The sequence below is a fragment of the Homo sapiens genome, chromosome 12 (assembly GCF_000001405.40).
Source record: "Homo sapiens chromosome 12, GRCh38.p14 Primary Assembly".
Taxonomy (NCBI): Eukaryota; Metazoa; Chordata; class Mammalia; order Primates; family Hominidae; genus Homo; species Homo sapiens.
The window spans coordinates 66,899,297-66,925,007 of record NC_000012.12 but is presented as its reverse complement, the minus strand read 5'-3'; the positions used below and the strand labels follow the sequence as shown (position 1 = coordinate 66,925,007).

At 37.9% G+C, this 25,711-nt stretch overlaps 1 protein-coding gene and 1 long non-coding RNA gene across 8 annotated transcripts in view, besides 1 other annotated feature; both read left to right on the top strand.

The window, feature by feature from the left end:
• Positions 1-25,711, top strand: part of GRIP1 (glutamate receptor interacting protein 1) — a 721,908-nt gene that overhangs the window by 144,331 nt on the left and 551,866 nt on the right. The window lies entirely within an intron of this gene.
• On the top strand, positions 1,765-23,888 carry LOC124902956 (uncharacterized). Its single transcript, XR_007063353.1, has 2 exons — positions 1,765-17,512; positions 17,812-23,888. It is a non-coding gene; the product is annotated as an uncharacterized LOC124902956 (long non-coding RNA).
• Positions 23,617-23,826: an enhancer, noted in NCBI's record as "active region_6622". NCBI's record gives its function as "activates an Ori minimal core promoter by ATAC-STARR-seq in GM12878 lymphoblastoid cells {active_cell/tissue: GM12878}" and the evidence as "EXISTENCE:reporter gene assay evidence [ECO:0000049][PMID:35858748]".

The window sequence follows — 25,711 nt, the reverse complement described above, 5'->3', positions numbered from 1 at the left end:
AAATTCTTATCTTGCTCTCTTAATTTTTTTTCTTTTTTGAGACGGAGTCTCGCTCTGTCGCCCAGGCTAGAGTGCAGCGGCACGATCTCGGCTCACTGCAAGCTCCACCTCCCGGGTTCACACCATTCTCCTGCCTCAGCCTCCCGAGTAGCTGGGACTACAGGCACCCGCCACCACACCCGGCTAATTTTTTGGTATTTTTTTAATAGAGACGGGGTTTCACCGTGTTAGCCAGGATGGTCTCGATCTCCTGACCTTGTGATCCACCCGCCTCGGCCTCCCAAAGTGCTGGGATTACAGGCGTGAGCCACCGTGCCTGGCCGCTCTATTAATTTTTATCTGGCTTCTCTTATGAGTGAGGCATCGTTTGTTTTGTGGTACCTCTCAATGTTCTCTCAGTTAGCCAGTTCAGAACAAGATAACTCTTAAAATCAGCTAACTAGTGCATTTCCATACCAAGTTTTAAGGAATTATACTATAATATGTTGCTATGCCCAGAGAAGACAACAGGAATTCAGAGAATGTGATTGCCTCTTTCAGCTAATGATGTGACTCTAAGGAAGTTGCACAGACACATCTCTGTCTCTCTACCTGCAGCATGGGCCCCAACATATGTATCAATAGTTTTTCCTAGCGTTTCCCCTAGATTTTAAATGAAATTTGTTTAATGTATAGTGCCTTCAGCAAATAGTTATTATGTGCCCACTGTGTGCCAGGCTCTTTGCATTGTGGTGATATTGACAGATATGATGATATAGACTTAAATATAGTGTAATATGATGTAGACTTAAATACAGTGTGAACTAAAATTGTTTCAGTGCTTTCTGTGTTCCAGGCATTGTGTTAAAATATGCCAAAAAATTGGCTGGGCATGGTGGCTCATGCATGTAATCCCAGCACTTTGGGAGGCCGAGGGGGGTGAATCACCTGCTGCCAGGAGTCCGAGACCAGCCTGGCCAACATGGCGAAACCCCACATCTACTAAAAATATAAAAATCAGCTGGGTGTGGTGGCACATACATGTAATCCCAGCTACTCGGGAGGCTGAGGCAGGAGAATCACTTGAACCTGGGAGGCGGAGGCTGCAGTGAGCTGAGATGGCGCCATTACACTCCAGCGTGGACAACAAGAGCGAAACTCCATCTCAAGAAATAAAAAAAAAAATGCTGAAAAATTATCTCATTTAATCCTTTTGAAAGCTCAGGGAGTATAAATACAACAATTACTCCCATTTTATAGATGAGGAATTGAAACTTAGGGTAAGGGATCTTCCCAAGATTTCTCAGCAAGTGGATAGCAGAGCTGGGATTTCAACCAGGTCTTTCTGAATCTGGAACTGGGTTCTTACTCTGTACTGACTCAAAAGTACAAGTGGGTTTGAGGATTTGGTGGAGGCGGCTGTGGCAGCCTTTATCTGATGATTTCTACTTTATTTTTTCTGAGATCTTCTGCTTAGATTTGAGTGGGGGTAGATAAAGGGGTTAAAAGTTTGTGAAGAGTTGAGAAGAACTCTTGTTGAGTAGGAGGGTGAGGTGATGGTGGAAAGTGAATGGGTTGTTGAGCATTCCCAAGGAATCAGTTGATGCTCTGGACTATGACTTAGTGAGATATCTAACTGCCAAATAATGTGCAGTATGGCAAGACAAGTTTTTTGTCTGTTTTTGAGACAGGGTCTCACTCTGTTGCCCAGATGGAGTGCAGTGGTACGATCTCAGCTCACTGCAGCCTCGACTTTCCCAGTTCAAGTGATCCTCCCGCTTTGGCTTCCTCAAATGCTGGGATTACAGGAATGTGCCACTGTGTCAGCCTAAGACAAGTTTTTTAAAAAGGAAGTCATACAACCTGATAACTGTTTATATCAATTGCAATTAGGTTCAGCTGCTTGTAAACCCAAGCTACTAGTCATTTAAGATAGAGGTGCATCTTTCTCTCGTAGAAAATAAATGTTGAGGTAGGTAGCGAAGGGCTTGTATGATATTCATACAGTCATCAGTGGCTCAGCTTTACCTGCAGCATGGGCTCAATCATATATATCAATATTTTTTTCTAGGGATTTTGCTAGATCTTAAATGGAATTTGTTTAATGTATAGTGCATTCAGCACATATTTATTATATGCCCACTGTGTGCCAGGCTCAGAGGGAGATCCTGTCTTTTTGATCTACTTTTCTTAGGCCAGGCTTTCTATCCTCAAGACCACCTCATATTCACAAGATAATTGCTGGAGTTCTGGCCATCATGCCCACATTCCAGATAGCCAGAGGGAGAAAAGGGGGAAGGGTAAAAGCAGTCAACTGAGTCAGTTCCCTTTGAAGTATTTTCCCAGAAGCCTGTCAATGACTTTTGCTAAAATCTGTTTGGATACTCTTAAGCACAAAGGAATTCAGGAATTATGGGTTTGGTTTTTATTTTCTTAACTCAAGCACATTGCTGCCTGTAACTGTATAAGGACCTGCTTTTTAAGAAAAAGACTGGATATTTCATAAATACTTGCAGTCTGCAACACTTTCCTACTCAGAAATCTGTTGTACATCCAACATTTGGAAACCTTAGTTTAAAATTTGACAATGTATGGGTACATTGTGAAACTTTCTTACAAGCTAAGAATGTAAATAGCTGCCACTGATTTCTCTTTAAGATGACAGAGAACACGGAGTCCTGGTTTTATAGAAGGTGGGTGAAGGGCAATGATGCTTCCTCTCTACCTCCTCACTCCCACCCCAGGGCAAGCCTTGCACCATGTAAATTGCTTTGGGGGTTACTGATGTGTTCTAGAGCCAGGGAAGCTGGATATATTAAAAAAGTGTTTACTGCTGATTGTTTTGTGTATTTATTAATTGGTTTTCCTCATTCTTTCCCAAAGAGAATTTCACAGTTGTTGGCTCTTCTTATAAACCGTTGGTTTCTAAATGAAATATAAACCAGCTACATCCTTTACAAATAGATAAGGTGAAATAAACACTTTTGAAACAAGCATGATTTATTTCATATTAATAATTTTTCATGTCTCTGTTTATGGAAGCAACATTCCCCTTTTTCTAATCCTCTTTCCTTGCAGATAGCAGGCAGGTGGGAAAATGAGCAGTAGCCTCTGTAGCTACTTTTTAGTGACAATTAGGAGAAGTTAAAGATTAGAAGAAGTTAAAGATGGCCTGAATTCATAAAGTCATGTAAAAGAGGAACATTCAGAGTGGAGGGAAAAATAATGCCTTTAGATCTATAGAACTGATTCTTCAATCATTTACATGCTTCCTATTGGAGATTCCAGTTTCTCTGGATGGTTTTAAGCAGGTTGAGATGGAACAATTCTTCCTGATTTGTGTGTTCAGTCCTAGCTCTTTGCTAGTTCATGTTTAACTTAGTATAATGTTCTACCCCCAGTGTACAAATGAGTGAGTGGGTGCAGTCAGTGATGTCAGGCCACCTGTGGGTGCCCCATCCCTACTATGCTGAGTTCAAAAGCAGGAGCCTGCAGTACTAGGAGAAATCCATGCATGGGGCCCAGAAATGGGAAGGTGGATTCACCTGGGAAATATTTTAATAGAAGTAAAGAACAAGGCCAAGAAATTGCTCAAGAGTCTGGCTAGGAGGTAGCCCAGATACCTTTCAATGATCCAGATAAGGCTTTTGTTCTTGTGTACTGATCTTATGTATTGACATGTCAGGAGCCAGGAGCAGTCCCTTTCCTGTGTATTTTGTGTGGAATCTTGCCTGGGGCTTTAGGCAGTTGACACATGTTGGGTTTATGGAAAATAGTTTTCTTTGCTATTTTGTGTCTGCCAGGACAACATATTAGGTCGGAGGCTATCATAGCATTTTCTTTGCTGTTGTAAACAGTTCTCTGAGCTGAAGGGCTTCTGAAGTCATCTATTATGTCCATCTAGGTGAGAAGTGCTGTCTCATGACTGGTAACAATGGTTCACGTATCACCTGCCTCTAATGGTAACATCAGGACCTCTCATTTCCCAGTAGTGACTTTAATTTCCTGTCACCATTTCCTAGACGGTTATGTTCAGAGGCTGGGTTGTGCCATGGCACATGAAAGAGAATGACAGGATGCATCCTCATTTCATGTTACAATTTGCCAGAAGATCATTAGAGAAGTCCGTTTATGCCTTACTGCAGATGAACGGATCACATGATTGCATTCCCATTATTTGGCACTGGGATTGAGGTATTAGGGAGGTGGAGAGTATTACACTCAAAATAAGTACAAGTCTTAGTAGGGCAGCAGTGGTCCTCATGGACACTGGTAAGCCGAGTAGAGATTCCCCCAAGATGATAAAGTTTTAAGGAAAGCCTTTTGGGCTATGGGCCTGATTTATGTCTGAGTTACATAACTTTCTTTCCTAGACACATAAAAATATTAAGAGTAATCAGTGACCTGGTGGGGAAGAGGTTATTCTTCATCAGACATCAAAAGGTCCCCTTAGTTCTTGGGTTCCTTCTATAACTTCCTTGATGGTCCTTTTCCCTCCAGTCACTGGACAGTGCTTACTACTCCTTGAGCTTTTGGGACATGAATGTGACATGTGTCTTGTCATCGTATCTCTCACAACATCCAGCTGCTTGAAGGAGATAGAAGGCATGTGTGTGGATATAATCAGGTGGTTGTTTTTTAATCAGGTTGATGGCAAGGACCAGGGGTGACTGCAAAGGAGTGATTATACCAGTGGGCCAGGAGACATTAAGCTGGGTAGGCGGGAGAGTAAAAGCACGAGGAAGTACAGAGAAAGCCACTGGCATACTCTGTTAATTAGGTGGAAGAGAACCTTGCTCAACAATGCTGGACAGCTGAGGTTTTATTATTTAATACAGGTTCGTCAAAGTCAGGCATTTTTTGGGTAGTTTTTTTCTTGACTCATACTAATTCTTGATAATCTCTATGTGTTTTATTATTCAAATTGACTTATTGCCAAAACTAAATTTATTAACAACCTATTCTTTACATACATTTTCTTGGTATACCTTTAAATATTCTATTGGGTTTATATTATTGACAATTATTTGCTTTTTAAATATTTCTAGTTAATCTGCCCTTCTTAGCCCTTCTTATATAAATTGATTATATAATATATTCAATGTACAGATAAGTACATCTATAAATATTTTAACTTTACCAAGGTAAAAATTTGCTTCAGGCATTTTGTATGTAAGGCATTTAACAAAAATTTATAATATTGCCTTAACGTATCTCCAGCTCTTTATTTGAGTGTCTGCTTTATCCTACTTTAGTGAAGGTGCAAGTGAATATTATACATTGTGACACATTTTTCTGGCTTACCTCACTTCCTTATCCCTCCCATTGGAATGGATAATTGAGGTAATTATCTGGGGGAAAAAAGTCAAGCCCCAAACCAAATTCTTGCTTCATTTCATTGGTGTCATTGAGGTGCCTCCCTTTATGTCATTAGGAAGCAGACAACAGTCTATTTATGTAAGCCAAAAATAAGGGAGAATGATGTAATGATGAATGCAAACCAGTCCCCGTGTAGTCTAGAAAAGGAAATGGAGTTGCAGAGAAAGAATTTGCAATTTTTCCCCAGCACTGCTCAGAGGGAAGATGTTTTGATTATTAATGAATCCACCTTGCTCTTTACATGAAAGATCCCCAAAGTAGAGAAGGGCAGTTCCTTGGGGTACCTTGTTCAGATTCCCTAAGGAGTATAATAATCTTAGCTCTGTTCTGTTCTCACCAAGCAAACTGCCAGTTGCTAACTCTGCTTTCAGGTGAACACCCTCCCTCTTTCCCAACCCTAAAGAAGGACAGGTCCCATGCAGATGTGTTCCTAGTTCTTGGGTCAAAAACTGTCTTCCACTTAAAAAATTGATAATTTGGGATTTACATAGATTTCCTTCTTATTGGACTATGGTAAATCCATTCTTTCATACCTGTTACAGCCTGGGGGAACCTAACAAAACTGCTTTTCTGAAACTGCAGAAAGTCATGGTGTTATAAAATGACAGCCCTTTGTGGGACTGAAGCTCAAATGACCTCTGGCCCTACTCATTTCTGAACCATTCATGATGAATGTTCAGTACTTGTGCATTAATTTTTTCTTATTCATTTTAAGGTTATTTCAAGGCATAAAGAAAGCTTAAATGAAAATATAATTTTTTCATGTACCCTTAGTTTTCATTTTATATTTTCATAAAATGTTTTTAATGTTGTAGAATTAATGATATTCTTGGAGTTTTGGAGAAAGTTGCCAAATGAAGATTGGTATTTGAACTTAGGCTTAATGTTTTCTTTTAGTTTATTTTGATGATATTACTCTTTCATGGGGGCAGCTAACATAAATAACAGGGAGCTCTTGTAAATGTGAGAAAGAAGGATAATTTTTCTTCTGGAGAAGAAAACTTCCTGTTGATATGGTTTTTTTGAATACAGGTTGTTTGAAAATATTTTAATGTCCTAAATCTTTGGAATTTGGGAGACTTAGGAGCAAGTACAGAACAAAAGGGAGTACATTTGGGAATATCATTGGTTGGGGTGATCATTTGTTTTATATGTCAGCCTGCCTGGCCAACAGGGTGCTGAGATATCTGGTCACACATTATTCTAGTGTTCTCATGAGGGTGTTTTGGATGAAGTTAACATTTGAATTGGCTGACTGAGAAAATAAGATGGCCCTCCCTAATGTGGTGGGCTTCATCCAATCAGTTGAGGGCCTGAGTAGAATAAAAAGGTTGACTCTTCTGAAATAAAAGAATACCTCTTGCCTAACTGCCTTCAAACTAGAACATCACCTTTTTTTTTCTACCTTTGGACTCCATTGGCTCCTCTTGGGTCTTAAGCCTGCAGGCCTTTAAACTTGAACTATACCATTGGTTCTCCTGGATCTCAGGCTTTTGGACTCAAACTGTAATGAATCATTGGCTCCTCTAAGTCTGCAGCTCACCAACTTACCTTGCAGATCTTGGGACTGCATAGCCTCTCCATAACTAATGTGGTGGGCTTCATCCACTCAGTTGAGGGCCAATTCTTATGTGTCAGCCAATTTCTTATAAGTCTCTCTCTCTCTCTCTCTCCGTGTGTGTGTGTGTGTGTGTGTGTGTGTTTATACATCTCTTATTGGTTCTCTTGCTTTGGAAAACTCTGATACACTAGGACTCAGTAGTTTTGGTTCAGAGATATAAAGAGATAGATGGCGGAGTGTAATCATTTTGAAAATTATGAACACTAGAGGGAACATTATATAAAATGACTTAATTTGTCCAGTTTAATGTTCTCTAGAATATCTGATTTAAACAGAATGATGCTGAGAAAACAGAGGAAATTAAAATAATGTTTTTAAAGTGTCTCAGAACATTCTTTAAATGTCTAGTGATTGAAATTAATGCAGTAAATTTCCCCTCTGCAATATTTTAGGTGTTGGATAAATAATAATGAAAATGAAGCACTACACTTGGCATGTGATAAAAGGAAATTATTTCTTTACCTTGTGTTTATCAATTAATGTCATACACAAATTATAATATGAAAAATACACAGTTTTAAACTCTAATTTATTCTTTATACACATTGTGGCATAGTTTTCCCATAAACAATTAAGAATAGATGCTCTTTGATAAGGCTTTTTCTCTCTATCTCTGGCAATCAGCAGTTCATTCCTGGATTGAGGGAAGTGTGCTCACAATGTGTAGAGAACAACTCTTTGTTGCTATGTAAGATGGACTGTATTTGAAATAAATGTATTAGGCAAGTGTAGAGATTATTGGTTACTGAGTTTTGTTGTTTTTGTTATTGATTAGAGTGGCAGCATGTGAATGTATTTTAAATTAGGGCTATGCTGATAAAAGTATAGAAAGGTTAAAAACAAGCATAGCTACAACATGCAGTGAAGAACTTAAAATACTCTTTAAATACATGGGATGCAATTTTAAGATTATGGTAGACGGAGAAAACCCTCTTTACATTAAATTTAGTAAATCTGAGAAATGTGTTGGAGATCACCAGAAAATAGATAATAAAATTTGGAACATTTGTAAGGAAACAAATATTTTCTAGCTTAACCAGACAAACAAAAATGTCTAATCTTATTTATTTTATAAAGATGTATTCCTACTGCTATATGATGTTTATCTTATATTGAACACAGTTAATTTTAACAAAGCAATGGAAATACAAGTGATTTTGTTTTAGAATATCAGGCCTCTAGGTAGGGTAAATGCCTTTCAATCCTAGGCAAAAGAGTATAATACAAGAAATTTGTTTTGTATTAAGATTTTTTTTTCCTATTAGAGGCTTCAGTTCCTGGACTTTCTTGGCTGTTTTTTTCTTATTGTGCCTCCTTTAATATTTTTGCAAAAAGTGGAGAAGAAAAAATATTTGAATAATCGTTTTTTTAACCCCCCTAAGAAACCTGTTGGAATATGAGATTTTGAAGTAATGGTAGATACATTTTGCATTTAAAAAAATAATACTTCTAATATTTTTTATTTGGAGGTTTTATTTGGGTTTTCTTTTTTTAAACATGAAAGGCACTTTACAGCACACTGGTGGCTTCTGAAAGGGGTTGCTGGAAGGCGAAGTGCTGAGACTGTTGTCTGTACAAACTCAGGACTTCCCAGGAGAGCTGAATTCTACATGCCTAAACCTGATTAGGCATAAACTGTGTGTGGGCGGAAGGGAGCATGAACACCAGGTTCTTCTCTCAAATTCTCCAGATAGGAGCATCCCAGCCCCTTAGGGCTTGGCTTTCCTGCTGTACTCCAGCCTCAGGGAGTTGATGTACAGATACCTCCGTGTTATTTGCAGGGGCCCCAACCTAAAATAGCATGTGGGACTTTTTGTCCACTAATTTTGAACTTTTTTTAAAAACATACTTGCCATTTTCCTTTTTATTAGGCTTTCTGATACAATCATTTTATATTTAGGGTAGAGGTGGGCATACTTAGGACCCATAGGCTCCACAATATGCACCATTCTGTGTGTGCCCACACATGCGTGCATGCACATGCCCAGAGTGCCACTAGCCCACCTGCCCTTGCCCCCAACAAAAGCATGCTTCAGCCCTTCTCAAGGACCAGCCAGGTGCCTTCTGGCATGATGAGTTTCTCACAGAGACCTCCTGTGAGAAGAATATTCTGAATGCACTTCCTCTCCCTTTGCTTCCAATTTTGGCTGAGTGTTAATAGGTGCTCAGCAACCTGAAGGGAGAACTATATTTTCTTCCTCGTCTCATCCCCAATGTCTAACTCAGTGTCTGGCTGTCACTCATTATATTTGTTTAGGCAGCAGCAGGAAGTAATCCTGAAAGCAATTCTGAAAAGTCAGGCTTGAGGCCTCACAAGTTCATTGCCCAGCATACAAGACATAGGCCCCACCCTGTTTAATATCTTTCTTCTCAACAGATAGCCTCACATGCAAAAGCTACACAGTTAGGAGATCTGTGCCAAATCTGGAATTTGCAGTGGCTGATGACAGACAGCAGTGTCGATTCCGTCACTCTGCTTGATTCCCACCCACGTCTGATGCCTGCTGAGAACACACTCTGTGTGATTCCACCCTGTTTCCGTCTCACTCGCCTTTGTCACCATACACTCTTCTTTTCTAAAGCTAGCTGGCTCTTTGTCTAGACAGCTCCCTCCCTCATCTCCAGATGGCTTTGTCTGGGAAGCCTACAGTCTTTTCCACTACCACCCCAAGATGCAGAGGCAATTAAATCAGGCTAACTCTCATGGTGTTACTCCAGTTAATAGGCATTTACCAAACAGTTTGGCATTTTCTAGAAAGAAAATGACAACATTTTCCTCACTTAGTCAGTTCTCTGGGAGATTTATTCCTTTTAGAGTTAAAACTCTTTACTTGGAACATGTCAGAAGCAACATCTCAAAAGCAAGATTCCAGTCTCCCAAGTTTTCTTTTGGACTTTCTGTCCAATATGTGGACTTTATTTGTCTGCAGAAGACTGAGATTTTAGGAAATGAATTCCCTCAAGATCAGGTAAATTGGGAGACACAAAACTGGGACATCCAGAGACATGATTTATGTCCATAAAATAGAGAAGCTTGTTGCTTTCTGGGGTTTAGTCTTTTTTGCGAGGGGAGGCGGGGTCACTCTGTGTTGCCCATGCTGGACTCAAACTCCTGGATTCAAGTGATCCTCTTGCTTCAGCCTCCTGAGGTAGCTGGGACTATAGGAATGCACCACCATGCCTGGCTTAGTCTGATTTAATTCAGCTCCCTGATTAGACTCATCTACAGTATCTTGATATTTGTTTTTCTCCTGCCAGGGTACATGCAGATTCTTTGATTTTCAGGTTTCGGATTCTTGATCTTTAAAACTTTATGTACTCTGAACCACCAAACCCCTCACCAGAGAAACGCCAAACAGGGAAGGCTAAGAGCCAGTTTTTCCTTTTTTATGTAGTTTAAAGTAGACTCAAATGTATCCCTATCATAATGCTTATTTCTTTCTGATATGCTTTCTTAAAACCTGAGAGAATGAGGTAGAATTGAAACTAACATACTAGGAATGGCTAATCCACTGTAGTCATTACTGATGTGCTAATGTTTTGGCCATTTTTAATTATGGTAATATCTACATCACAGTTATGATTAGCAAAATGAAGCAGAAAAGATGATGCAAGTAAAATTTGCAATAACACAATTCATATCCATTACATGTTTTTTTCTAGACAACCTGAATGAATAAAAGATGTAAATGCCCAAATGAAGAGTATTTATAAACTTTACCTATATTGTTAACAACAGCAAAATAGGTAGCAAACCTAGAAGAATTTCTCTTAATCCTGGGGCTGGCATTATTGATTATGTGCCTACCCCCCATTTTGAGTTAGATATCTTAGGTCAAATTAAAAACAATTACCTTCCCAGAATTTGCTATTTGCACGTGAGAAAAGTGGTTAAAATTTACAGATAAAGAAAATGTCTCCTTATTTCTCATAGTGTCCTTCTGTAGTCTGTAGAGCATTCCTCATTGGTTAAACAGGGATAGCGTAATTCTGATCTCATAGGATTGTTATAAGAATTTAATGACTTTAACAAGAGTATACTATTACACATGGTGCAGTAATTATTGGGTATTATCATTATCAAGTCCAGGCTAGTGATGATACTTCAAAATCAGTATTTAAATACTTCTTTGATGACAGGAATGAAAAGGAATTATCTACTAACAGACTATTTTTAACATTAAATGATATGAACAGTATAATATTTTAATGTCATTCCATTTTCATTTATCTTAAGTTAGAAGCTTCAGATTTATGACTTGATTGACCTCCTGATATAATTGAATAGAAAAACATTCCTCTTTAGACTGAAGACATTGAATTTCTATTTCCACCTCCAGGAAGCAGCTGATTATGTTGTCACATTATTATTTTAAAGAGCAGCTTAATATAAAGTATGCCAAAGCTGTTGTTATTTTAACAAAATAACAAAATAATTCTCCAACAATGATAAGCAATGCCTTCCTGAAGCCTAGTTCATTTAGTTGTGTGTATGGGAGAATGTTTTAAGGTTAATTTCAGTTGGAAGATCTTTGATGCATTATTGCTGCTGAAAACCAGATGTTTTACTGGAACATTACTGAGGGTTTTTTTTGTTGTTGTTTTGTTTTTTTCTGAGGTTGTGATACCTGTTGCTAAGATATTCAGGCTTGTGTCATCTCTGGTGATATTTTCTAAACTGTATTCCATAAGACATTAATCTTGCAAAATGCTCCAATAAATGGGGACATTGTGATTAGATAAGTTTACTGCACATGCTGTGCCTACTTTGGGAGGTCCACATTGCTTGTGAGCTAATTAAAAGCTTTGAGAAGTTTTGGAGTAAAGAAATACATGGATAAAGAGTATTATTTGTTATGGTATTTTGGAGTTTCAAGCACTTGTTTCAGGTACTAAAGCAGATCCAAAGCTGCTTTTTGAGGCCAATTTTTGCCCTAGATGCTGTGGCGGCCGACTTGTTTGGCAACCTCTTATCCAGGTGAAGATTGTAGGCAGTTTTTCAGCTTCTATAATGGAGTGTTAATTTTGCACATTCATGTTTGGTATTTGAAGTTCTTTCAGGCATGAACACGTGGTACCTGCATTATGGGTTTTTTCATTAGAGTTTAAACTTGAGGTAACTTCCATCTATATCCTGTAACAGCCACACCTGAGTAGAGAAAGAAAATAATAGTCATGCCTTTTCTATTAATTTAGGTTCCGCTCATAAATTAATGATCATGGTTCATGAGAGAGAGATATTCCTTGACTTCTTCGATTGTAGCCCCCACAAAAATACCCTCACTAGATGACATTAATGTTATTTTCTTAAATTTTATTGAAGATATATGTAATACATAACATTGTTAGGATTATTTTTTCAGTCTTCTATTGCATATTTTTGTTGAAGACATATTACTAAATGTGCCTTATTTAAATTCCCCTTATTAATACTCCTTGATAAAGTCTGTTTGAAATATAGTAATAAAATATTTGTTTTTCCCTTAAAAAGTATTTTATCCTATCAGATATGAATCAAATATAATTGAATATTTTTTCATGTTTTTTCTTTTTGCCTAGGCTGCCAGGAAGATCAAAGTCACATTTAATACACATCAAACATCATAGTAATATCTATACATTTTTTTTAGAAAACAGGCTTCTGTATTTCTTCAATTCCTTTGGTACTTAAATTTTGTAGTGAAAGTGAAATACTTAATATTTAAAGTCTGTGTCCAGAAAATTAATCTTGAAACCATTTGAATGGATACATTTTTTCATAGATATAACATTATATGTGTGTTAGATTTCACACTGGCCTTCAGAGCTTCCTAATCCAGTAATAGCTTTGTAATATATACATAGAAATTATGATTAAAAAAGAAATACTCCTATGTTTTATAAAATTAAGTATGCCAACATTTTGGAATATTATTTAAACTGATCATTTTTTAAAAGTTGTAATCATTACAAAGTAAAACTAAAATGTAATGAAACATAGATGCTGGCTATGAAATCCAGAGATGTAGGTAATATTATTTTATTTTAAAAATGTAGATTGATGTAATTACTTTTTCTAGAGTAAGCTGAAGATGCAGGTTTATTCAGCGAAAACCAGAGATATAGTTATTGTAGGCAACATATCTCAGATGCTGGTGCCAGGAATTGATGGCAGCTGGTTGCACACTGTGTTCACTCCAGTGTTGCTCAGTGCATTGAACTAAGTATTGTTAATAAGGGATGACACATTGAACATGCCAACAAAGTAACATCAGTAAAATATTTCAATATACTTGTATGTTTTTGGACACCCTCTATATTTTCATTAATTTTGCATGATAAGAAAGGAAGAAAAATGAGCCCTAATGATCTGTGGTTATATTTTATTATATCCAATTTCATCTACATACTATTTTCTTGATTCTAGGAGAGCACCAGGAACTGCTCTTACAATTATCCCAAATAAAGCTCTCACATAGTAGGAGTCATTTCTTCAAACCTTCTCTCTCCCAAAATATACTCCCTTTTTTTCTTAGTTACATGGAGCCATGATATAATAATTATAAACAAAGGGTATGCCTAGAGAGTAGAATGCCAGGAGAAGAGAATGATGACTGAACTCCAATCTTAAAAGGCAATCTTGTGGAAAGGGTTAGTGGACTGACTCTGTGTATACTTTGCAATAAAACTAGAGCCAATGGGTTGAAGCCTTCAGAACATAGATTTCCGCCTTTAAAAATTTTTTTCTAAGAGTTATAAGTGTTAAAAGCATAATCAACCATTTTGTAGAATTTCCCCCCAGTGGATATATTTAAGTAGAGCTTCAAAGCCAATTTCCAGATATTAAAGCACCTGTTTTATGGGATCTCAAAGCTCCAGTTTCTCCCACTGTTGTAGCACCTGATAAATCACCATGCTCTGAGTTTTGCATAATTTGCTTCTCTACCCATCTCCAGGGAGAGCCCCTTGAGGGTAACAACCATATATTACTTATTTTTGTATCCCCATCCATTAGCACAATGCTTGGCACGTAGTAGATGCTCAATAAATGTTTACTGAATAGATGAAGGTATGAACGGCTGCAGTTGAAATAATGGTTGAAAAATGTTTTCTTCATGTTGTAGAACCTGTCCTTCAAATTGAAGTCTGACCTGGAGATCCAGTATGTAAAAGTGATAAAGATGGAGCTGTTCTGGTTAAGTGGAATTCTATGGCCTAGGGACGTACCCTCTGAGTCCTTGAAGCACCTTTGAAGAACTTCTAGGGACATAGTTTTAGAATCACTGGTCTACAAAGTCAAGTTTAGAAAACGTTTTTGATTTGCGTTTTGATTTCTAATTCTTTGATTCTCAGTCTCTTCATTTCAAGTTTCCTGGGTTTCATTTTCACACTCACTATTTCTTTTCCTTGTCCTCAAAATGTTTTTGAGGTTAAGAGAAGGTGTGCTAAATAGGAAGGGCCTGTGGTTATGTTCACACCGAGACCCAACTTCATAAGTTCTTAAGCTGGAAAGGTTGTATGACTGACACATTCTGCAGCTCTTGCTTAAAGATTTCTGCTGCAGCCTTTTGGTTTCAATACAGATTTGGTGGTCATACCATGGCTTCAGTGTCCTGGCTTCGGTCCCTGATTACGGGTGAACCAGGAGTTTTGCAAGCCCATGGTCACTCCCCAAAGGTGGAATTACATTTTATAGAATGCAGGAGAAGAAAGTAAAGGGAAGGCTCATCTCTGAAGATAGATATAGGCCCTCCACCCTGCTTCATCTTTTGTACTTAGGCAGAGAGAGAATGACAACTGGGGAGAAAGGCTAGTGATGAAGTAGTCATTAAACTGGCCAGAAAGACAGAAGGAAGGAGAATAATGAATGCTAGGAAGAGATGTGTCCTGAGCCTAAGTCTTGCTTCCAAACAAGGGAAATTCATATTTCATGTGCTTCTGTGTCTGAAATTGCATGTACTACCTGTATAGTCATTAGTGATAGTGCTCTTCAACCTTGAAAGTCCATTAAAAGAAGACTTTGATTAAATGCACTGACCAGAGACAGAAGAGTATTGTGATTGATTATAATCTGCTTAGATGAGATAAAAAAAACTTAAGTTGTGGGAATGAGATAGTTTGGATGCTGTCCAAAATAGCATGAAAGGCCTTTGATCCAGTTTTCAGTAGATTTGACATTATTATGGCAGTAACTTGGAACTATTTTATTGTGTTCAGCCAGTTAACTAAAGATGATATTTTAGACATATTAGAAGAGAAATAGCTAGGGTAAAGACAAAGAGAAGGTAGGGGAGGGGCTAAAGAGAAAGAAAAGGAGCCAAAAGATGTTTTAGAAGAAAATCATCTAAACCTTGTTCTCACACACACTGTCTCTACCTCCATTACAGCAGCTTTCATATAATTACTTATGTAACTCAATGAGGACATTCTTTAGGCACTTAGTAAATTCTAATTGGCTATAAGTAGGAAAGGAGTAAAAGAGTAGAGTGTGAAGGCAGCAAGGTCAGGGAAGAAGCCTTAAACTGACCACGTGAGCTGATAATGAAAACATCTTTGTTGAAATGTTCTATATACAGGATTTACATTGAAACTAGTTTTGCATATGCAATGATTTTTCAAAACCCTTATCAGTCTTCAACAGGTAAATAACCTATTTGTTTGAGCCATTCTGAATTTAGCATTCACCCCAAGCTCTCTGCTCCACCTGCATTGCTCAGTCTTTGGCATATGACCTTCTCTCATTATTCATAGAGAACATTGGAAGGATATGATGATTGGTGTGAAAGAGGCCATTTGAGATAGAGGTGAGGAAAGTACTAGGAGCTCATGTCACTAGGAACTAATGCATCATAATGTACTAACGTGGAAAAATAGCAAAACAAAGACATGAATGATAACAAGGATAGAGAGAAGGAAGGAGATTTTTCAAAAAGATTAAAAACAGTGAATTAGCAAGAAAAAATTTAAAATAAGTAATAAATGGTATTATCACAAATGTAAAGAGAGCATAATAACAAAAATATTGAGGAATGTGCTGAAAAGGAAGAAAGAGGTGTTTGGTGCTGGGTGCATTGTGAAGTCTAAGCTCCTCCATTGAGGGATAGATAGAGTTACTATGTCTGAGGCAGTCTTGATGGCAATGCAGGCTTCATTTGGCTCCTCTTAAATCCAAGGGTTGTTTTCAGATCAGAAGTTCAAGGTAGTCATTCTCCAGGCAGACATCTTGCTTCCACTACTCTTAGATCTGCAATGAAGACATTTTTATGGCTAAAAATTATTGCAGCTACCATCATCAAAACAGTATCCCTGAAGATATACAGTCCTCTTCCAGCAAAAAGTTCCATATCATTTTTTCCCTCTGGTCTAGGAATATAACATCTTCCATTAAAATATTTTCTATGTCCTATATACCATGCACTCCAATCTCACTCCTCATAAACAAACTCTGTGCAAGAGGGTGTTTAATATGCAACACTGTTTCTTCAGATCATATTTGTTCCTCAATTTATTTTAATACAGTGTCTACCCCATTACCATTCTGAAACCGTTCTAACAAAGGTCACCCATGACAGCTAACCTGTTAAGGGCCAGATCTTACATGAATCATTTTCAGCACTTATCCTTTTTTACCTCTCTGTAGAAAGGGGTGCCTCCTTCTTGAAATCCTCTCCTTCCCTGATTTCTGTGACAGAGACTTTCCTGGACTTTTTGCTGTTCTCTGGCTAGGCCTGCATCAGATTGTCATTGACTTTCAGCCTGCCACCCACACTCTGCCTGGTCTTCTGCCCTCCTGCCAAAAAAGCTGTGTTCTGCACTCTCTTATTCATCTCATCTTGTTGGTTTTGAGATGGAATGTCATTAGCATCTGTATTTTCGGCCAAGACTAGGACATTTAGAAGCCATAAAAATGGAAATCATATCTTCCATTTGATGTAATTCAAAATAAAAACAATATGGAGTCATTAAAATAAGTTTAAGGAAGTTTAACAAAGTTCTTAAAATTTCCATGATGCTGATACTTCTTTGGAAAAATAATACCTTTATTATTTTTTTTCACTTTGGGTAACCCAATTTTGCTAATGCCCTAATCTCTGTCATCTTGAAGGGCAATCCAACACTGTTCTTGTCACTTTGCATGTCTTCTTCTTAGGTTGGCATGACCCTTTCTCCTTGTTCCAGCCACCCTCCCCTCAAATAATTCAGAAAAATGAATGGAACTTGTTGTTGTGCAATTGATGTAGGAATCTCTTTCTGTTTTACTTTTCTACCTGTTTTCTCCCCTTTCTTTGTTGTTATTTGAAGTTTCTCATCATATTTCCAACCTCATGTAGTCTTTCTTCACACTACCCCCTTCTATCGTCATCTCATTGGTACAGCATTTGAAATTACTGGAATATGACAAGTGCTGCTGTCCCCATGTCTTTGGAATGCTGACCCCCCACTTCCTGGAACACTCTTGCTCCTCCTTTTACCTGACACTAACCCCTGGTCACCACACAGATCTCAACTTGCCTCTGCTTCCTCCTGGGAACCTTTCCTGGCCCTTTAGCTAAGGTGAGATTCATTTGCTGAATGTAACCCAGTCCTTCTTATCTCTTCCTTGTTATGCTTAATGTACCTGTTGTGGCTTGTTTAATATTCATAAAATACATATGAGCAGAGGCCATTTATGTCTTGTTCAATGCTATATTTCCAATGCCTAATGTTCTATTACTATAAGTAATGTTGAGTTGAACAGATGAGATAGAAGTACTAAATTGGCAAAATCTTACTTTATTTTCCCCGACCCAGTTCAAATGTCATCTTTCTTTAAAGTTCTCCTCCCCACTAGCAAAAATGTACTTCTCTCATAGAACTTACACATTCCATCATGATTGTTTAAAAGTCAACTAACAAAAAATGACAAGGTTTTGAAAGACAAGAAAAGACTGAGGAACTGTCCCAGAATGGAGGCGATTAAAGAGACATGATGACAAAGTGCAATGTGGGATCCTGGAGTGAATCCTGGAACAGAAGGACCATAGTAGAAAAACTGGTGAGACAAAGTTTGTAGTTTAGTTAATAGTATTGTACCAAGGTCAATTCCTTAGTTGTGGTCATTGGTATGAAGGTTATGTGAGATATTGACATTAAGGCAAGCTGGGGGAAAGGTCTATGGGAACCTTTTCTACAATTTTCAATTTTTTTCTCAAGGTTTAAAATTACTTTAAAATAAAAAGTTAAAAAGAAAAGCCAACTAGGAGCTTTCTATAGACAAAGTATATCTTAAGAATGTAGATTTCTAGCCCCTGATGGTGTCCAGTCTAGTAGGTGCCCAATAAACACCAAAGTAATTTACCCTTGCTTGCTCCCATTTTGGTTATTTGCAGTCTGTTTTGTGCCTTCCCGTTCTGGTCTTACCTAGCAACAGCTTGGCTCCTTTAGGGATGACCTAGTCCCAGAGTGCATATGCTTGAGAGGCCAGTATCCTGCCTTTCTGTGGCAATGATGCTGTACTACATACATCCTATGTATTGGTAACTTGCTTTCATCAGTACTGAGAGTAATAAGGAAGATATATAAAATAATAAGAGAAAGTGGGAAATCTGGGCTCTTTTCTACCTTATTTTATTTTTTTTTGAGACAGGGTCTCACTTGGTTGCCCAGGCTGAGTTCGGTGGTGCACTCACAACTCTTCAGCTTCGACTTCCTGGGCTCAGGTGATTCTCCCACCTCAGCCTCCCAAGTAGCTGGGACTACAAGTGTGTCCACCATGCCCAGCTAATTTTTTTGTTTGTTTCTTTGTTTTTGTAGAGATGAGGTCTTGCTATGTTGCCCAGGCTGGTCTTGAATTCCTGGCCTCAAGCCTAGCCTCATGTGATCCTCCCACCTCAGCCTCCCAAAGTGCTGGGATTACAGGTATGAGCCATTGCACCAGCCCTACCTTGATTTTAAATGATACAAGTTTTGCCTTTGAAATTAAAATTTTTATTAATATTTGCGTGCCTAGATAGTCCAGTCAGATTTTCAATTGAGCATCCTTTTTTTCTTATGATTTAATACATCCTTTTTTTTGTTTTACACATCGAGAACTGACCACCTTTTTACTAATAGCATCTCTTCTCAAATTTTGTGCAGAAAATGTTCCTTTAAAATGTCTTAAAGATATAAAAGGATATATTTATCCTATTACATTGTAGTAGAAATCGAAAACACTATGGCTTTTATTAAGGTAACTTGCGAAAGTTGAAAAAATCATTTAAAAACCTGAGAAACTCTTGTAAAATCCTCACTGAGCATTGCCAAGAGCATTCTAAACTTAGTCTGTCACTTTAAAATGACTATATAATAACACATGTAATTAATATGAGCTATAATAAGACCTTCTAATCAGCTGAAAATTCAAGAAAGGTTTTTTAAAGGTTGAATCCTTTATATAAATTTTGGGTCGATGTGTAGTTATTTTCCCCTTGCTCATAAAACCTTTGATTTGCAATTATTTCCTATTGAAAACACAGAATATTTCATTTCAATCATACCTGAATTGTCATTTGCTCTCATAAACCATGTATTCCTAACAACAGAGTTAAGATTATCTTAGCAAAGAAAAGTCCCTCTTGTCTGTTTCTCAGTATCCTCCCCTGGGGCTTTCTGCCCTGCCCAACTACTGACCTATGTAATTCCAATGGCATCTATCATCTCTATCTAGGCACTAGGCACTCACACCTCACAAACACAAACATCCACATATGGAAAGTGAGGAGCTTGGAGCAGAGATTTCCTACAATGAACATTTTTATAAAACAAGAACCAGGCAACTTGCCACATTCATGTTCCTTCAACTTATAGTAATGGGTAACTGGATGGGGCAATTTGAACTAGAATTTAAAGTAAAAAGGAAACACAAACAGCCTCCATTTGTTTATATATTACAATTTTGAAAATGTTTACTGAATACCCAAATGCTATCTACTTTGTGAGGTATCACAAATGCTTTTACAGAGTCAACATGCATAGAGACTCAGCAATATTTCTTGTATCTAAGGACTTGGGATGGTGAAATCTCCTTTGTTGAGGACACCGCAGCACCATAGAAGTAGCCAATCTTTTAAACTCTCTTTTGCTTTACCAATAAAAAGACAAACAAAAACAAAGCTTACTTTTTTTTGTTTTTTTTTTTGAGACGGAGTCTCATTCTGTCACCAGGCTGGAGTGCAGTGGCGCAATCTTGGCTCACTGCAACCTCTGCCTCCTGGGTTCAAGCGATTCTCCTGCCTCAGCCCCCCGAGTAGCTGGGGCTACAGGCACCTGCCACCATGACCAGCTAATTTTTGTATTTTTAATAGAAGATGAGGTTTCACCACGTTGGCCAGGATGGTCTTGATCTCTTGACCTCTTGATCCGCCTACCTTGGCCTCCCAAAATGCTGGGATTGCAGGCGTGAGCCACTGCTCCCAGCCCAATCTGAACATTTTAACAAGCTTCCTATTTAAAGGAATGGGGTTTCATAAGCAAATAACTAATATATGATGAACTCCCCAATTAGATATGTCTTTTAGACACAGTCTCAGAATATAAATTCCCAGAATTTCATACACATTTCTAACCTTCATTTTTTAAATTCATAATTGAAAACACCATCAGCCAACTCTCAGATCAATTGATTTTCCATCTGTGATCCTTGCTTCTTATCATTTTGACTAATTAATACTTCCATTACTTCCACTTTTCCATGCAGTTCTTGGCCAGTGGGCAGGGCAGCACCACCATGCAGGGGTTTGAAATATTTGTTCAATAACTGATGTGCAAAAGTCTGGGTTATAGAAAGGTTGAAAACGTCTCTACTAAGATTATACTACAGTGCCCTCTAGCCTATATAGCAGGGAGAAAAATGTTTCCCCTTCCTGCTGTTCATTTCTAGTGGCACATTACAGTATTTGTTATATAAAGGGTATGAACCTGCTATTAAATACCATACTTCCTAAAAGGCAGACATAAAGTTGCTTTCTTATAGCACACATAAAATTACTCTCTTAAACAGTCAGTGCCTTCTTGCTGAAGAAATACCCAGTATCCTAAAGTGTCAACAGGTGCAGAAACACTGCACTGCTGTGTCTAGGGACTTTCTGTTGAAAACCTTTGCTTGGCTGAGTAAAAGTAGAGAAGAGTTTAACTTCCATCTCTCTTCCTCATCCTCCATCAGAAGGCAGCAGTCCATAAACCCTATTCTTAAGTGTGGCAAGTGCAGATGCCTTTGGTGATATCTAATTATCCTTGATCTCTAAATCTTTATTGTCTATTGTTAATATTCTTTCCCTTCATATCATTTTGGGAAAGAACAATATCTATAGATTTAAGCCCTTCTGTGTCTATGTTGTTTTACATTCAACAAATAGACTTTAAAGAGAAAATGTAGTGTTTCCTAAAATCTTTCTTTGATTACTTGATATCTGTGGTTTTCTTTCCTACCTCCCCTTCAAACAGAAGCCTTGAAATACTAAAAACTTAACCTCAAGAATTTCATTAGGCAAAGCTCACAATATTTTTTTTGGAGATATTCTTTAAAAAATAATTTATCTTTCTTCAAAATCTTCAAATTGTAAAAGTAGGTGAGGAGTAGGACATAATTTATTCTACTGTGTTGGTTAATAACCTTGAAAGTTTACTTAAAAGGCAGTCTCTTTCCTGATTATACAAAACATTTAATGGGAGGAAAAAAGCGCTCTTGAAGTATTGCCATACACAGACTTTTAAACTTACAAAAAAAAAAAAAATACTGCAGCACGTTTACACTCTGCCATAAAGTACTATAATGAATAATTAAAACAACTAGAATTGTCAAAATAAATAACTATGGATTGCGGTGTAGTGCTCTAAATTTTTTTAATGCTTTTTTGCATGTTGATTTACATAGCATAGTAATAAGTCAAGGATTTCCCAGTCATTAAAGTGAATTAACAAGAAAGTATTTTAATGGGTAGTTTTGTCTTATTTCAGAATTTGACTAGTTATTTAATTCTATACCCTTCTCTTGCATTTACTCTAAAAAAAACTGTGTTTGTATAAATAATGTATTTAAAAATAAACAAATCAGAACTCCATGGTCTGAAAAACAGAATTTAGCAACTAATTTGTCACGTATATGTGAAGCTTTCCCTAGTACCTCACTTCCAAGCATTGAAGAAATGAACATTTCACGCAGAACATGTATCTTTACTGTTCAATAATTCAAAAGCGCTAACAACAATATGCATTTAAGGGTCTTTATATTTCATTCGAAATACAAGCTCTTAAAACAACAACATCAGTATTTCTGTGTCTATATCCAAATATATTAAATGATGTCTAAGTGAATTTTCCCAGAAGATTGTCACTATTTCCCATATTAAGTCATTGGTATGAAAAATTCCAGTTCACTTTCATCTCTCCCTGTATCTCTTTTGCAATATTCCGAAGTGGCCTACTTGGTAACCTCAACTTTGAGCTGATGAATGAAACTGGCAGTTTTCACGAGTTGTCTTCTAGTCCTGGAGCAAAGGACTGAGTATAGGAGGAAGACTGCTGAATGACATCTGGGAGACTGCTCAGCTGATCTGAGATTTGAAGCTGGTGGTGTTCACATACTTCTGCACCATCCCAGAATCTTTGCCTGAAACCATCCCTCAGGCCAGCTATTTCTTGGAGGTCTATGACTAATGTCACATTGTAAAGGAACAAAAGTTTTTAATCCATGTTGGTGATATGATTGGCATTCTCATTTAACCTCATAATATATTAATATGATCAAATTTTGCTAAATATGTGAATGTAAATCCAAAACAGTGAATTGTTGAGAGTGGGAAAGAAGTCTGGGGAGGTGGGAGAGAGGGAGAGATTCTAACACTTGTTGAATATCTGCTAAGTGCCAGGTGCTTGCTGTGTATCATCTCATTGAATCATTGCAACACCACTGTAAAGAACTAGTTCCCCAGTTTTGCATGTGAAAAATATTAATTGCTTTCCCAGTGTTACCCTTGCCCAGTGAATCATGGGTCTTAATTCTCCACCAAGTATTTCTGACTGCAAAGCTCATGTTTTCTGCCCATATGCACATGATCTGAAGGATCAACTCAGCAAGAAATACTTAAAGTTTTTTGTTGCTGAATGCATTATAATTTTGAGAAGACTTTATGTATGCCGTTGCTTCCCAAACATTACAATACAATTGTGGAACACTCAATGGAACTTTAGTTCATTATGGCAGTGAGAAGGTAACAAGGAAATAAGAGCAGGTCTTTGCCCTTCCTGTTGCTCCGTGTCTCTTGCCTGATGCCAGGTTTCCCTCAGACCGGATATGAGACTTGGACCTGTGGTTTAGGTGTCATTTGCAGAACAGTAAGTCTCAGGTAGAGTCTTATAGTTCCTGATTGTAAAGGTCAATCCAAGTTTATTAAGGCTACTGTACATCCCAGCTTTCCTGACATAGCCTTGAATTGAAGGGCTTTTATTCTTCATCATAAAAATGATCTCTTAATGTGTGCCATCTTCCCTTGTAAGACTATTTGATACCTTTGCAAACAAGAAAGCCTCTTGTCAAAATATATAATGTGATTTTTCTATTTGGAGGGTCTCAAGAAGCATAAGCAGAACTGAGTGAAATATGGAGGGCCTCCCTTTCCACCAGATGTGTCCACACGGAGTGATTGAGTGGTATGCCCTGTGGCAGCAAGAGTGACAAGTCTTAGGCCTACTTCTGCTTTCACTTTTTCTTTTGTCTATTGCTTAAAATAACTGAGCTTTATATTTTGTTCCCCTCATCATGTGAAATTGCAGATGTTTACTGGTTTCATTCTTTCTTTTGATGAACTAACTCCCCCTCTAATGGATGGTTTTTGTTTTCAAAACAAAGCTGTACATTTCAGTTTGAATAGCTCCCTCTGATATAATAAAGTTGTTCTTTTAACCCATGTAATCAAGATTTCCTTTCATTTTAAACTTAAAAATAATTTGGAAGATGTGAGTGATAAATTTCCATGCAGCTGATTTAAATATTCTGGTTCATTTTCATTCATGTATCTCTACTCCCATGGGAGAAATGTCAAATTAGGGAAATAGCAGTGCATTCCCTTCCTACTTTCAAAAAACATGCAGGATTTAAGAGCCAAGACCGAAAGTATTTTGTCTTAGCTTTTAGCTTAGAAACTGCTAGTTGCCTACCCAATATCCATTCTCCATTTACTCCTAGAAACCTGATGTTTTTCCAGTTGGCAATGTGCCCAGATACACACTCTTATTTCCTAGCTTCCCATGGGTGGTCAATGAGATTAGGTAGAAGTCCTTGGGTGTGCTTTCGGGAAGGCTATGTGAAGCAGGCTGACTCAGTTGAGAGGGAAATCTTTTTGGCCCTTCCCTTCTTCCTCCTCTTTTTGCCTGAAATGTAATATCTGAAGCACTATAGCCACCTTAGGCCTTGCAGATAGAAACTATGTAGAAAGATAGGCTCTAGAGTTCCTGATGACTTTGGACCTGCTATAGCAGTGTATGTGTCTGTTTTAGTCAGTTCAGGCTAAGACTGGGTGGCTTAAGCAAAAGATACTTACTTTTCACAGTTCCGGAGGCTAGGAAGTCCAAGATCAAGAGGCTGGCAGATTTGGTGTCCAGTGAGGGCTGTTTCCTGCTTCATAGATGTGATGGCAGTGTTTGCCCTCTGTCCTAACATAGTAGAAGGAGAGAGTGAGCTCTCTGGGGTCTCTTTTATAAGGGTGGGGGTTAGGATTTCAACTTTTGCATTTTGGAGGGGTACAGACATTCATAACAAATGCTTACATCTCTACTTCATTTATCTGAAGAGGAAACAAACCTGTCTTGTTTAAGCCACATATTGGGAGTTTCTATTATATACAGACAAGCCTAATCACACCTGATACTATTTTCTTTACCTTTTCCATGACTGTAATACAAAAACATCTATTCCTGCTTCACCAATCTCTTTACTTCTCCCAACTCTAATTTCCTCCTTTTCCACTTATTTCTAACATTCAAGAGGACATTTTCAGGCAGGAAGTGCCTGCCTAAAAATCACATATGCTATCCTGCCCAAGAATGGAGAATGTATTCACAGCTATTTCTGCTAGCATTCAAGAGGACATTTTCAGGCAGGAAGTGCCTGCCTGAAAATCACATATATAGACTGGTCCTGCCCAAGAATGGAGAATGTATTCACAGCTATTTCTGCTGTTCCCTTCTTTGTTCTCCTGTGAATATGGAGATTTTCAAAGAGGCCCAGAGACATTTCACAGCAGCACTCATTGCAGTAGTTGTGGGATAGAGAAGTATAGGACAGAGTAGTTCTGCATGCATGAGCAATTGAAGTCTAGTATCTACCCCATAGCAAAAGATGAGTTGTATGAGGTTAGAATCTCACATGGGTTGGATGCAGTGGCTCATGCTTGTAATCCCAGTGCTTTGGGAGGCCAAGATGGGAGGATTGCATTAGGCCAGGAGTTTTCAACCAGCCTGGACAATATAGCAAGACCTCATCTCTATAAAAAATTAAAAAAAAATAGCCAGGTATGGTGGCGTGAATTTGTAATCCTAGCTACTCAGGAGGCTGAGGTGGGGGATCACTTGAGTTCAGGAGTTTGAGAATGTACTGAGCTATGATCGTGCCACTGCATTCCTGCCTGGGTGACAGAGCAGGACCCTGACTCAAAAAAAAAAATTTTTTTTCACATGGGACAGGAACAGTTTCTTTCCAATGATGTCTACAGGAAGTACATTCTGTCCTGACAGCAG